The sequence below is a fragment of the Homo sapiens genome, chromosome 16, assembly GCF_000001405.40.
Source record: "Homo sapiens chromosome 16, GRCh38.p14 Primary Assembly".
NCBI classification, from domain to species: domain Eukaryota; kingdom Metazoa; phylum Chordata; class Mammalia; order Primates; family Hominidae; genus Homo; species Homo sapiens.
The window spans coordinates 65,771,152-65,785,217 of NC_000016.10; the positions used below are offsets into that span (position 1 = coordinate 65,771,152).

Sequence of the window (14,066 nt, forward strand, 5' to 3'; positions counted from 1 at the left end):
ATAAGCACTAGGAGGACAAGGTGGAGCTACCAGAAATTCACACTTTATGCAAATGAGATACCCAGCCCTCATCAGTTTCTTATAAAAGCCTTTGCATTCAGCTGTAAAAATGGCAACTCTCCTCTAGGTGCCCTCTCCACAGCGGAGAACTTTCTTCTTTTGCTTATTAAACTTTTCCTCCAACCTTACCCTTGGTGTCCATGCTCCTCAGCTTTCTTGGTCATGAGACAAAGGACTCTGGGTACCACCTTGGGCAATGAGAGACTGCTACATTGTGGTGCTTCCAAGATTGACTATAAATTAAAATAAGAATCCTGGAGAGCATTTCCTGGGAGGATTCTTCATTGGCCTGAATTATTTGTGGGGAAGTGATTCTGCCTTCAAATTGTTCTGCTCCTGGGTAAGAAGCAGAGAACTACTATCACCATAGAACAATTGTACCAAGCAATGAAAATTCATCCGAGGTATTAATTAGCTCAATATTTATCTCATCTAATATGCAAATTAAGACACTGCGGTCTCATTAGTGTCATCTGTGTTTCCTTTAAGCAAAACGAAATCTCTTGCCAATGCAAGAAAAAGAAAAAAAATCAGTATTTCTCTTTGAAGCTAATGAGGGTGTGATTTGGCTCTTCCTTTGTTATGAGGTAGCAAGTTAGGAAAAACACGTTTTAAATATGCAAAGTATGGCCTGACCTCATCTATCAGAGGCAAGATCACAGCCTTGATGATGTGTGGTTATTAGGTTATATGCATCACACTTGTCCACAGAACCCAAGTCTAAGGAGCAGGTGGGTGAGTTTGCAGTGAATCATCAATGAGGAGATGAACAAAGAAAGGAGATGCAGCCTTCAAGAGGCTGCTCAGCAAACAGATGTGGTATTACTTCAATGATAAGAGAGGTAGGAAATTAATTTCTTTAATACCATGAGTCTTAAAAATCAGAAAATGTATCTCAAATTGAAAAAGAGCAAAGAGAGTTCAGTTCAAAATTTCTTCCAGCTTCCCATTTTCAGATTTCAGAATTTATACAGGCAATAATCAAACAGTCATCAAATACCCACAATGTCCCCCAAAATTCAAGCTATATGTGCTGGAGATATGACAACTCTACAAAGCACCAATGTCAGTAACTCCAACAGTCTGGGTCTTTGGCCGGCTGCCAGGAATTCCACATTGATGGGGTTCAGGACACACCATCTGAAAATATGACTGTAGGAGACCAGCACGTGCCACCTCAAAATATGCCTCTTTGGTATAAGGATAATTTCGACCTGTTACTTTGAGAAACTGCAGACACAGGAGAAGCCGTCAGAAAGTTAACTCTTTTGTCAGAGAAATTTACATTTAGAAAGGAAATCTCCATTTGTAAGGGTGTCTCCTTCTCTGTACCAGGGAGAGAGGGAAAACTAATCACTGAAGACTTAATCAATGGAGAAGGCAATGACTTACTTAAATCTGCATAACAAACCTTACCTTTGTTTTACCGTGATTTGGTGAATTCCTAGCCACCTTGTCTTAATCAGGCTTCCCTCTACCTTTCCCACAACTTTCTTTGTTTCAGAAAGTGTTTTATTTTTATTTATTTATTTTTTTTTTGAGACGGACTCTCTGTCTGTCGCCCAGACTGGAGTGCAATGGCATGATCTCGGCTCACTGCAACCTCTGCCTGCCAGGCTCAAGCAATTCTCCTGCCTCGGCCTCCCGAGTAGCTGGGACTACAGGCGCGTGCCATCATGCCCGGTTAATTTTTTGTATTTTTAGTAGAGACGGGGTTTCACCATGCTGGCCAGGCTGGTCTCGAGCTCCTGACCTCATGATCTGCCTGCTTTGGCCTCCCAAAGTGCTGGGATTACAGGCATGAGCCACCGTGCCCGGCCTTGTTTCAGAAAGTATTTAAGCCTGAAGTCTGAGACAACTCTTTGAGATCTAATCTAGAGGTGTATTCACTTCACTTTGTTAACTCCCATGGATACAGGATGTATACATGTTCCTATTAAACTTCTGTTTGGTTTTCTCTTGCTAATATGTCTTTTGGTACAAGGAGTCCCAGCTGAGAACTCATGAAGGGCAGAGAAGAGAATTATTTTTCCTCCCCTACAGCATGCATTAACTCTCATCTCAAAATAACTCAGCAGGGCATGGTTTCCTTCTTTTATACAGACGACGACATTGTGGTTCAGGGCAGTTAGGTCACTTGGCCAAGGTCATTCAGCTAAAACTTGGCCCAGGTGGGACCAACAGATCAAAGGAATGTGACCAGCCACAGGGAAGGCAGCTTAATTAGCGAGGTGTCCTGCAGGCAGTAACAGGAGGGTTGAAAAGGTGCCTGCCTCTGTCTCACCCTGAAGACACCTTGTGGATTTTCGCTTTCCTAAGGCCACAAGTCCCAGGTGGCTCCCTGCTGTCCCCATTTCCCAATTTTGACAAGCTATTTGAGACCTGTGTTGTGAACACAGCCTGCTCTCTAGAGCAGTAGAGAGACTGGTCTGCATTCCGACACCTTCTGGGGCCTGAAAACTGAAAACCACTCTGCAGGCAGACAGAGGCTGATTTCCATATGTTGCAAATCGTGTCAAGTGTCACAGCCAAGATGCAAGGAGAACTCCCAGCTGTGGCGACCAGGGACAGGCGATGGGAGTCGGAGGAGCTGCCTTTGGCTCTGAGACAAAGCAGGAGAAAGAGGCCATGACCTCCTTGTGACCCTTGGCCCACGAATGACAGATTCCCCCAGAGCACTTTCATCTTGTCAGATTCCACGCCTGTGAGCTCAGCCTTCACCTGGAAGCCAAGCAGCTGAGCAGAAGTGAAGGTAAAAGAATGACTGGGGCCGGGCATGGCGGCTCACGCTTATAATCCCAGCACTTTGGGAGGCCGAGGCAGGTGGATCACTTGAGGTCAGAAGTTCCAGACCAGCCTGGCCAACATGGTGAAAACCTGTCTCTATTAAATATACAAAAAAAAATTAGCCAAGTGTGGTGGTGAGTACCTGCAATCCCAGCTACTCGGGAGGCTGAGGCAGGAGAATCGCTTGAACCCAGGAGGCAGAGGTTGCAGTGAGCTGAGATCACACCAATGCACTCCACCCTGGGTGACAGAGCAAGACTCCATCTCAAAAAACAAACAAACAAAAAAGGATGACTGGGCTGATGGGGAGGGGGACTTGTGAAGCTGCTGCTATCATGACCAATGACTCCATAACCTAGGAGGGACACGTGGGCCATCAGAAAGCTGCATGGACAGATGCTTCAAAACTCTGGGGACATTTACACCCCACCACTGGAACTTCAGGAGGATGCTTTCCACCTGTCCCAGCACTTCCCCTTCCATCTCTAGCTCTGAGGCCTACAAATAGGCAGAAATGGGTATGCCCACTTGACAGATGGGAATACTGAGGCCCCCAAAGGGCAAAATGGCCCACTCATGCGGGAGAGCTAGGGTAGCCGGGGAAATGAATCTGTCTCTGCATTGTCTCCTCTGTACCAGTTCCCATGCTGGGGGTGACCACATTAGCTTTCTGGAATTGTCACAATGTCCTTCTGAAGTAGGTGGTGGGGCTCCCATTTCAGAGCTGGAGAAACTGAGAGTGAGCCTGTCAAAAATGGGAAAAAGAAATGAATCCTTGTGAGTCCTTGTTGAGTGCCTTGTGCTGGGGGTGTTACATAGATATAAAGACCACATGACATAGAAACAGGTAGCAGAGAGAGGGGTGGCCTGGGAGTTCCATGTGCTAAAAGACCCTTTGAGGAGATTTGCTGTTCTTCCTCCTTAGATGAAAAAAGCAAGAAGAAGGAAAGACCGATAATGACCTTCCCGCCAAAGGAAAACACTCCGCATTCGCATACTCCCCCTGCCCCAGGGCCAGCATTGCTGGGAGCAACAAGCTGAGTGCTAAGCTGTGCACAGATGGGAGAGGTGGACACAGAAGTCCAATCCCACGGCCCGCCACACCTGGGGAGGAAGGGAAGAAAACCACACCTGCTCAGTGCGAATGGAATGGGTTTTGAAGCTTAATGGTGCACGGAATTTCTGTGTCTTTTTGCTGTCTCTGCATCTGATGATCGGTATCTGTCTTGGATTTGTTTTGTTTTGTTTTGTTTTTTACCATTCAATAAACCTCTTAACATAAACTTGCTTTCAGAGTGGTTGCCTTGGGATTCTTTAAATTATGTAATATTTTATATACAATGAAGTATATATTAGGTATATACAAGTTATAAAGCAAAATCATAAAACTCATACCCATGTGCAGAACACTTGGCCTGAGAAGTAGAATGTCACTAAAGTGCTAAGGTCACCTGAAGGCTTCTCTCTCAGAATTTGGCCCCTAGAAATATATTCTATGTAACTAATTTTAACAAGAGCTCATGAAAAAATTCTCTTGCAGTGGGTGCTATAGATCCTGTTGGTTCATTTAATCCTGTCCCCATTTTACAAATAGCAATGTCAAATGTAGAGGGATTCAGTAACTTAGTCACTCAACTGGTGCCCCATGGAGCCAGGATGTATCCCTGAAACTGCCTAATGCCCCCTAGATGCAGTACATTGCACAAATCCAGGAGGCGCCTTTTGCAGGCAGTCTATGGGACTGGTGCCTTCTCTTGGGGGCTGTGTGATGTTGGGGTCCTGCCAAATCTCATGCTTTTACGTCTTCACTTTACATCCAGAGTGGGGCTGATATTTAAACCTCCCAGGACATACTATCTGGTTTTTAAGAAATTTGACACTGCTGGTGTACTGCCTGAGTCTCATTTGTTTTATTTCCCGTTATTCTATTTGTGACAGTGAACCAACTAAAAATTCCTTTCAACTCAGATGGCCTCCCCATGCAATATGATCCTGGAAAAATCACATTTTGAATTACTGTGAAAACGTCTTGCCTGCTTTATTGTCCCCAGCAACCGGAAAGAAATGTAAGCAATGAGTGATATGACAGTTTGGAAGATGATGATGAGAAACTCTAAATGAGATTTTGGCTGTTAACAGGGTTACTGCACAGCTGTATTAATCGGAATAGGAGTTAAAATGCAGCAAGAGTGGGGGAAGAAAAGAAAGGAACTGTGTCTCTTGAGCAAGGACAACATGCCAGGTACTGACAGGAAGGTTTTTCATACACATTACCATGTTCAATTGTCACAGTAGCCCTGGAGGCAAAACGTTTTTAATCCCCATTTTACAGGTGAGCAAACTGAGGCTAAGTGTCCCACCAAAGGGCAGCAGCCGGTCAGCTTGTTGACCTGCAATTAAACTATTTTCTTCTGATCCAAACTCCTGGTTCTTTCAGCATTATAACTTGATGACTTATGCTTGCTTGGAGCCAAAACTCATTAAGCATCTACTGAGTGTAAAATTCACAGATGCACAAGAAATTTTGAGTCAGAGGACTTTCTAATAGGGCAAATAACTCTACCTCCAAAATGTGGAAGGAGCTTCAGAGATCATCTTGTACTTGTTCCTCTGTTTTGTGAAGCAAGAACCAAATTGGTGAGGAGACTTGGTGAAGTCACACACTTCAAACGGCCCCTCTCTTCTGGGACATATTCACTGTTGTCCCAGAGGAACTCATAATTGCATATTCTTTGTAACATTAACTTTGCATGTTAATTTTTTGAGTTTAAATAAACTTTTTATCCCTAAGTAATGTTAGATTAACTGAAATTTCCAAAAATAGTATGAGGAGTTCCCATAGGTTCTTTATCCAGCTTCCCCCAATGTTAACACCTTCCATAGTCATGAAACTGTCCCTATAAACTATACAATTAATAAATTAATCAGGGCAGAAGGGAGAGAGAGAAATGAAAATAAGCCAGGCTTGCAGCTTACTCAGCATTAATCCTAAACCTGCTCCCTGACCTGCTTCCTAATAGTTGTTTGGTGTCTATTGTCCTAGAATCACATAGACCCTGCAACAAGGTTATCGTCCCCCTTAACTGCTCTATAGATAACTTGAACATTATAAAACATTGTTTTCCCTTTTAGACATTCTTTCAGGTCCTGTGTACCAGTGAAACTACTGATGTCAGCTGGTCTGAAGGACCCACAGGAGCTTATTCACCAAATAACTCAATTTCTGCATCCTGATGATTTCATCCCCCTTGCTCCAACAAATCAACAATCCCAGTTTTCCAGTCCCTCATCCTCCACTATCCCTCAAAAATTCCATCTCAGAACTCCTCTGGGAGAAGGATTTGAGGATCTCCTCCCATCTCCTCACTCAGCACCTTGCAATCATTAAACTCTTTCTCTGCTGTAGACTCTGCTGTCTCAGTATAATTGGTATGTTACTGTACAGAAGGCATACAAACTTACTGGTCCTATAATAGTCATGGTAGATTTGTCAAAACTAAGACTGTAACATTGGTACAATACCATTAAGTAAACTACAGGCTGTATTTGGATATCATCAGTTTTCTTACTAATGTCTTTTTCTCTTCCAGGATCCAATCCAGGATTTTAGATGCTGATTCAATTATTTCTAAGTCTCTTAAATTTAAAACCTACCCATGTGTGCCTATTCACTAGGCAATGAGACTTCCCAAAAGGCAAAGACTCCAGGTAACAACCACAAGATACGCATTTATTAAATATGCACAAGCAATATAGACTTAGCAAAGGCTTGTTATGCTGCTGATGAATGCAAAGACCTCAAAAGTGGCACCAAAGCCACAGCCTTTTCCATCTATCCATATTTCCACTAAAATTATGTGCAGATAATCTGTATAGACAGATATTACACATATCTGTGTGTGTAATGCATATCTACACATACACACTTTAAAAACACATATAGGTACATGTTCCATGACTAAGAAATCATTTCAAATCAATTTGGAAATGTTGGGCAATTCAATAAATGGTGTGAGAACAACTGGCTATTCATTTGACATAAGTAACTAAATAGATGCCTATCTACTCCCGACCTAATATCATTTCCAAAAATAAGTCTCAGAATTATTAAAGTGTCAAATATTGAACAAGTAAAAATATCAAATGATTAAAAGAAAACCCAAATAAATATACTTATAATATTGTGGTAAATCAGGGCTTTTCAAACACAAATGCTGTGAAAAGAGTAAAACATTGGATTACAAAATTGGGTGAAAAATATTTTCAAAATATATAGCAGACAAAAGATTAATGATGAGAACGCATAAAAATGTCTACAAATAAATAAGTAAAAGACTAAATAAACCAACAGAATAATGACCTAAGGATTTATATTGGCAATCCACAGAAACAGAAGTACACACAGCTCATGCATATTAAAGAATATTTGCCCTCACGGTAATCAGGAAACAAAAATTGAAGCAATGACAAGATGTCATTTTCACCCACAGGGTTGCCACTGGTTAAACAAATGTGTGCAAATGTGGAGTTTGGGTGAGGGTGAGGGTGAGGGGACTCCAGCCTTGAATGACTTGAATGAGTTGAGCTGCTGGAAGAACTGCCAGCAGGAGCAAGCTGACCTGAGGGTGATTTGTCTTGAACCATCAAAGACAAATCCCACATCTGCAGATAACAATTGCTGAATTTTCAGCCTCTAATCTGGGCCTAGGTGGCACCTGAAAGATGGGCATGGCCCAGATGTCACTGCAGACTCAAACCAGAGTACCAGGGCCTAGAGTCCAGGTAGGAACTTAGACTTTAGTTCAGGAGAAACATAGAAAATGTTTCTGGTGGGTGCTGAGTCACTGCATCCAGTTGCCCCTGGCCTATCCTCACTCCACTGACATCTCTACCCCCAAATCAACACACTAAAATCTTCTTATGAGGGTTTAGGAAGAAAGGCAGGAGACCCTCAGCTGCAAGGATGGCTGAGGATGCTACTAGATGCTCCCTTAGACTCCCCTGCTCTCCTGCAATTTACAACCAGGCCTTAGAGCCCTGTCAGAGGAGAGCCTCAACCCTGCCTTCCTCAGGGCCGGCTGTCGGGTTCTGCTTTCTCAGGAAGTACCCTAAAAATGCTTTCTAGAAGAACCACCCTCATTTACTCCCCTGGACTCCCTCCCTTCTCTATGAAGTTTTATTTAGAGCCTTGATACCGAGAGGCCCTTGACGCGACACCCACCAGGGGTGATATTTACTATGTTCCTCGTGAACCATTTTTGCTGCCCTAGAGAAAGACCAAACATTTTGGGCTCTTTCTGGGAGCATTTGCATGACTTACGAGGTTTATTTAGGGCCTAGGAATGCCTCCCTTGAGATGGAGAGAGGCTGGGCCTCCTCCTGGCCAGAGGCCAGGTCAATAATATGCCTGAAAATGTGCTAGTGAGAAGCTGTTATGCTCTCCCCGCTTGGCAAGGCAATTTGTTCTGGAGTCTAAAGATCTGGGGCAGGTGTGGGGTGGGAGAGGGCTGTACAAGTGAGGAGTGAAGATCTAAAAAATATTCTTGAGGAAATAGCGTAAAAGCCCTCAAATCCAGACTTTGTAGCCTGCTAAACGGGGGTGTTTCCAGGGCTTCGACTAGTAAAGTACGAGACTTTCTAAATGGCATTAGCTTAAAATAGTCAGTAAGCTTGGTAGCTGGATATTCAAACCCAAAAACCAAGGACATTTTGGCAGAGAGTGCATTCTGTTGTGTTACTGGGTTTAAATGCTCTGCAGACACAACTCTCCGTTATGGTCTACACCCAGTGTGCACTATCCTCACCACCCTGCCTGTGTTATGCTGCCGTTTGAGACCTGGTATTTAAAAATATGACTGCCTATTTTATTTTATTTTATTTTATTTTATTTTATTTTAATTTTAATTTTATTTTATTTTTTGAGATGGAGTCTTGCTCTTATCACCCAGGCTGGAGTGCAGCAGCATCATCTCGGCTCACTGCAACCTCCACGTCCTGGGTTCAAGAGATTCTCCTTCCTCAGCCTCCCAGGTAGCTGGGATTTCTGGTACCTGCCACCATGCCTGGCTAATTTTTGTATTTTTAGTAGAGATGGGTTTTCACCATGTTGAGCAGGCTGGTCTTCAACTCCTGACCTCAGGCGATTCACCTGCCTTGGCCTTCCAAAGTGCTGGGATTACAGGTGTGAGCCACCGTACCCAGCCTGACTGCTTATTTAAGGTATGGAAAAAGACTTTCAAAGATGTAGCTATCAAATCATTTTTAGTTGTGCATTTAGTGGCTCATTCTTGGTGGAAAGAAGAAAATTATGTGAAATTGAGACCATGGTCTGCGTTCTGCAGCCAAGCAGGCTGGAGACACTAAAGTTGACCTCGGCCTTCCCTACAATACTCCCCGTATCTGGCCACACCCTCTCTCACTTCTACCCCTCAGGTGCATGGCCCTTTCCACAACAGTCTCAGTTCTGCTCTGTCACTGTCCCAGGCATCCCCTGGTCTAGGGCAGGGATCTTCTGTCTGGTTCTCCCTCATTCCCTTGGTGGGGGGGGGCCTCCAATCCATCCTCCTACACTGCAGAGGCAGAGGATTTTCTGCACGTGCATTTATTCACACCCTTCTTTCAATATCTGACCCCTTCCCACCACTCAGGATGCATCTACTGCCTCTGCTCCAAAACCAGCCCATTCCCCCAGATCCAAGCTACTATTGGGCCCCAGATGTGCTGTTTGACCCTTCTACCCCTTTAGCTAAGCTGTTTCCACTGAAAGCCTAGCCTCTTGTCTTCCTCAAATTAACCTGCTTCACCCTTCAAAATCCATCCCATTGTTCCTTTCCTGGAGGGTCCTACTGAGCCTTCCAGTACCTCCAATTTTGCACTGTCAGTGGCCCTACCTCACTGAGCGGTTTATACACCCGTCCCCAACTAGATGTTATATTGCTTTTGGATTTCTATGTCTAGATGCTTCCTGGCTTCTAGATCATGCTCAGTGGAAGAGGGGAAAACAAATTGGTGAATTCATGGCTGTGGGATCTCTAATCCCTGCAGGCAGCTAAAAGAGTTGGGAATTCAAAGATATTGATCAGTGATGGTTTATAGATGGGATTTCATAGAAGATGGGGATGGATTCTGGGGCCTGGGCCTCTCAAAAATGCAGGCCCTCTCCAGAGGGTTAAAGAGATGGGATTATCTACCCCTTGAATCATGGAGCAGAATGAGGGCAGGAGCCCCTCACCCTGAGCACAGCACACAGGATGCCCCAGGACAAGCCAGTCTCTGCTGTGACCCAACTTGATGTGCCATGGGGAAAAGTGTGGGCTAGTAGAAACTGAGCAGAAGCAGCCCCATCCATCCTCCAGGTCCAGAAATAATTTCTACTATGTGACAAAAAGCAAAACCAGCCAGCCAGATTGGTGTATTTTTGCTGCTGAACATTAGAGTTCATGATCTGATTCTGCTGAAGACCTACACATGCCAGAGCCAGTGAGAGATCCTAGCCAGGCCAGCCAGGCGCCACCTCATGTCAGAATGTCACCTGAGCCTTTGGCCTGAGCAGGAAGCTGCATCTGGTAGGAACCCCAGGTCCTGCTCATGAGGCTTGGGTTCAAATTCCAGTCTTATCTTTTACTTCTTCTGTTATGCTGGGTGAGTCACTCTCATTTCTCTTCCTTAGTTTCCTTCTCTATTAAAAAGAAAAGAAAACAAAAGAAGAGAAGAGAAAAGAAAAGAAAGAAAAGAAAAGGAAAGAAAAGAAAAGAAACAGCCAATAAGATTCCCACAGTTCCTCCTAGCAGTGACTTTCTGGAGGGCACTTCTCCCTTGCCCCTGACCATGGAACCCCTACCTGCCCACAAAGGCTTCAGAGACTCAAGTGGAAGGAAGGATGAGATTGGATGGTCATGGGCAAGAGGTACCATGCACTTTTCAAAATGAGTTTGGCAGGATGTAGGTAGGTTAATAGGAATTGGAGGTAGTGAGGGTTTTTTCTTTTTTTTTTTTTCATGTAAGTTTGCAGGACTTCTCATAGCCTTCAGTAAGCAAATAAATACTGCAAGCAAACTGTGAATTGTCAATTATAAGACATGGATCTCACCATATTCCAGTCTTATCTGAGCATGCATCTTTTTATTCCCTCTAACAGAAATTTTCCTAGGACCAAGTATTATGTAGAAAACATCTTCAGAAACCCTGGTGGGGCAGAAATCACTATAAAATCTGAGCCAAATCCTAGCTCACCATTTATCTATGTTAACATGGGTACATTTCAGACTTAGTTTACTGGATGAAAATGGAAATGTTTATCATCTCTAACTAGTGGTATTTTTTTTTCTTTTTCACCTTTATTTTCCAAAATTTCTATAATAAGCATTTTCAGTAACCACTCCTTAGAATTATGAATGATATGTTTAGAGTGTAGAGTAAAATTTCAAAGCCTCCTCCCAAGCTCCATGTCTTAAGAAAATCGTAACATTTGTTTTGCATAAACTTTTAGTACTTCCACATGAGCATTTTCTTTTTTTTTTTTTTTGAATAACTAAGTTTTGTTTTAAAATCAGTTTCAATGACCTCCAGCTCTGGTGGTTGCTGTAAAGAAGGAGAGCCTGGCTATGCACATTGACAAGCCCAGCACAGAGCTTGGCACATGACAGACACCTATAAATATGGGTTAGAAGCAGACTCCTGCTCTGGGATTGGTGCACTCATTAAGGGAGCCCTGCGCCAGTTGCTTCCAGAGTTGATGACTTCCAGAAGTTGCTGCCCTGTGCAAATTCAGAAAGAAATTTACACCTTCCTGGATGGAGCCTCTGGAGCCTCTGAAAGCAAACAACTGGAAAGAGACCTGTCTTGCCCCTCAGAAGGACCATGGGGCTCCACAGGAGGCCCCTTGTCTGCCAGGGGCACTTAACACTTTCCCAATGGTGACGCCAAGAAATTTCTTTCTGTCCAGGGGAGCGTGTGGTGGGGCAGGGAGAAGGAAGGGGATGGGGTGTCTGCTCCACCAGCAAAGAGCTCGCTCTCCTCTCTCTTGAGTTCTCTCCAAGCCCTTCACTGGCCAAGCTGAGGAAAGCTCCTTGTGGATTTTTATCACGGTCAAATTACTCATTTACAAAAAATGCTGCTGCAGATGGGCAAGTCCCCACAAAACCGTGCCAGGGACTCTTTAGGGCTGATCCTGCTGCTTGGCATAATGAAGCCCTGATTACCGCAGCACTGAGGGGTGTCGGGCTTGCCAGAGGCCCGCTTTTAATGAACTTTCCCATCCAAAGTTGGCCGAGACAATGCCAATCAATTGGAATTGATTACTTCTCGAAATCCATGCCTCAGCTTGCAGGAAACACGCGCAAACACACCCAACATGTGAGGGTTCATTTGATTTCTTGGGAGAAAAAGGAGTTCTTTGCAGCCTGAGATAATGATGGATTAGCATTTTCCAGATTCCCAGGACACTGGAAAGAACTGGTGTGTCCTGAAGGAACCTGGGAAAGATGGGATAAGCTTTGGTGGCCTCAGAGTTCAGATTGTGCCTGGAGCTCCTTTATTTTATTTATTTATTTATTTATTTATTTTTATTCATCCACTCATCCTTCCACCCATGCATCTCTATCTATCAGAACTTACTGACTGAGAGTTGATTATGTTCCAGGTTTGGTGTCAGGTTCTGGGATATCAGAGATGAGATGGCTCCTGTTCCTTGAAGGGACTAGACCCTAGACCCACTGAGAGGCAGTGATGGAGGCTCTTTCTGGAGGACTAGGAAAAGGAGCTATAGGGACTTGAAGGACCGAGGTTCAAGGCTGGGCTGAGTCTGGAAGGATAAAGGTATATTCTCCTGGGGAACAAGGAGAAATGTTCTCCTTGACCTCTAAAGTTTCACAGCAACTGTTCCTTTTGCTTGGACAATTTCCAACTCTCCTTCCTCTCTCCGGGCCTCCACAATAAATACACCACTCCTTTACCAGGAAAATCTAATAGTATACATCCTCCAGCATCACAGCTTGAGAGAGCATGTACCCAGGGCAGGCTTTCCTAAGCTGTGCTGACTTGGCTGTGCCTCCCACTGACCCAGGCCCTCAGGGGTCTCGTGCACTCTCCCCAGAGCCTGCACCCCTTATACTTTCCTGGCAGGGAGATGCCATGATCACAGAGTCTGCACCCCGACATCATCAGCTATCATCTGTCTGTCTGATTTTGCCCATAGAACAGGAGTCCTGTGATGAGAGGAGACATCCCGGCTTGTTCCCCACTTTATAGGGGTTGGATGGTACCTGGCATGATGCCAGGCACTTCATGGGTGCTCCATGGATGCTCGCTGAATGCAGACTGAGTGAACAGATGAGACCATAAAAGGCTGCCCCCAGGACAGAAGATGAGGACACAGAAGAATGGCATTTGTGGAGGACCCATTGTGTGGATGGCAGGTCCCCCAAGGCTCCTCACACACACTATGCAGGAGGTAGGTGGATTCGGGTGGAGTCCTCTGGAAGGGAGGCCTATAGATGGCCAAGGGCAGAGGCAAGGTCAAGCTCACACAGCTTGGCTTCTTGCTCCTTGACTCCCTCCACTCTCAGAGTGAGAGCCCCCCATCTTGTGGGGTGAGGGGACTTCTTCAGCATGTCCAGGCTGAGATTTCCTCCTAGAGGGGTCAGGGGCAAATGGCCCGGCTGAGAGAGGGAGGGAGAGGCCCTCACTGGGGCCAGGGACTGAGCCATCAGGCAGCAGCACCCAGGGATTTAGACATCCAAGGCAAGACAGACCCGAGCTAGGGAGGGTGGTGGCTTCTGACAGAGGCTGAGTGGACCCAGCCAAGCCTGTAAAGGCAGAAGCAGAGTGGAAAGGGGCCAATGAGGGCAACAGGGAGAATCAGGGAGAGACAGCCAGGATGGAGAGAGGCATGGCCAGAGAGGGGAGCAAGGAAGGGGAGTCAGGTGGGATGGGCAATGTGTAGAGCGGAGGGAAGAGAACAAGAAACTCAAAAGCAAATGGAATCACAAGGGAAAAATGGACCAAAGGAAAAAATGTCAGAGGGGCCGGCATAGAATAGGGGAGAAATGGAGACAAAAGCAGGAGAAAATGACCTGCAGTCATGAAGGGCAGTCTGGGAAAGCCAGGCAATGCCTCCAGCCCCTATGGGAACATGGCCCAGCCCTCCCCTGGGGTCTTAGCTTGTCAGTCCTCCTGCTCTCCTCCAGGCTATCAATAGCTGCCTATCTAGTATTGAACTC

At 45.0% G+C, this 14,066-nt stretch overlaps 2 annotated features.

Annotated features, from left to right (window-relative positions):
• Positions 754-1,350: an enhancer, noted in NCBI's record as "OCT4-NANOG-H3K27ac-H3K4me1 hESC enhancer chr16:65805808-65806404 (GRCh37/hg19 assembly coordinates)". NCBI's record gives its function as "activates a minimal SCP1, AML or CMV promoter by ChIP-STARR-seq in naive and primed H9 embryonic stem cells {active_cell/tissue: H9 hESC(naive and primed)}" and the evidence as "EXISTENCE:reporter gene assay evidence [ECO:0000049][PMID:30033119]".
• Positions 1,351-1,945: an enhancer, noted in NCBI's record as "OCT4-NANOG-H3K27ac-H3K4me1 hESC enhancer chr16:65806405-65806999 (GRCh37/hg19 assembly coordinates)". NCBI's record gives its function as "activates a minimal SCP1, AML or CMV promoter by ChIP-STARR-seq in naive and primed H9 embryonic stem cells {active_cell/tissue: H9 hESC(naive and primed)}" and the evidence as "EXISTENCE:reporter gene assay evidence [ECO:0000049][PMID:30033119]".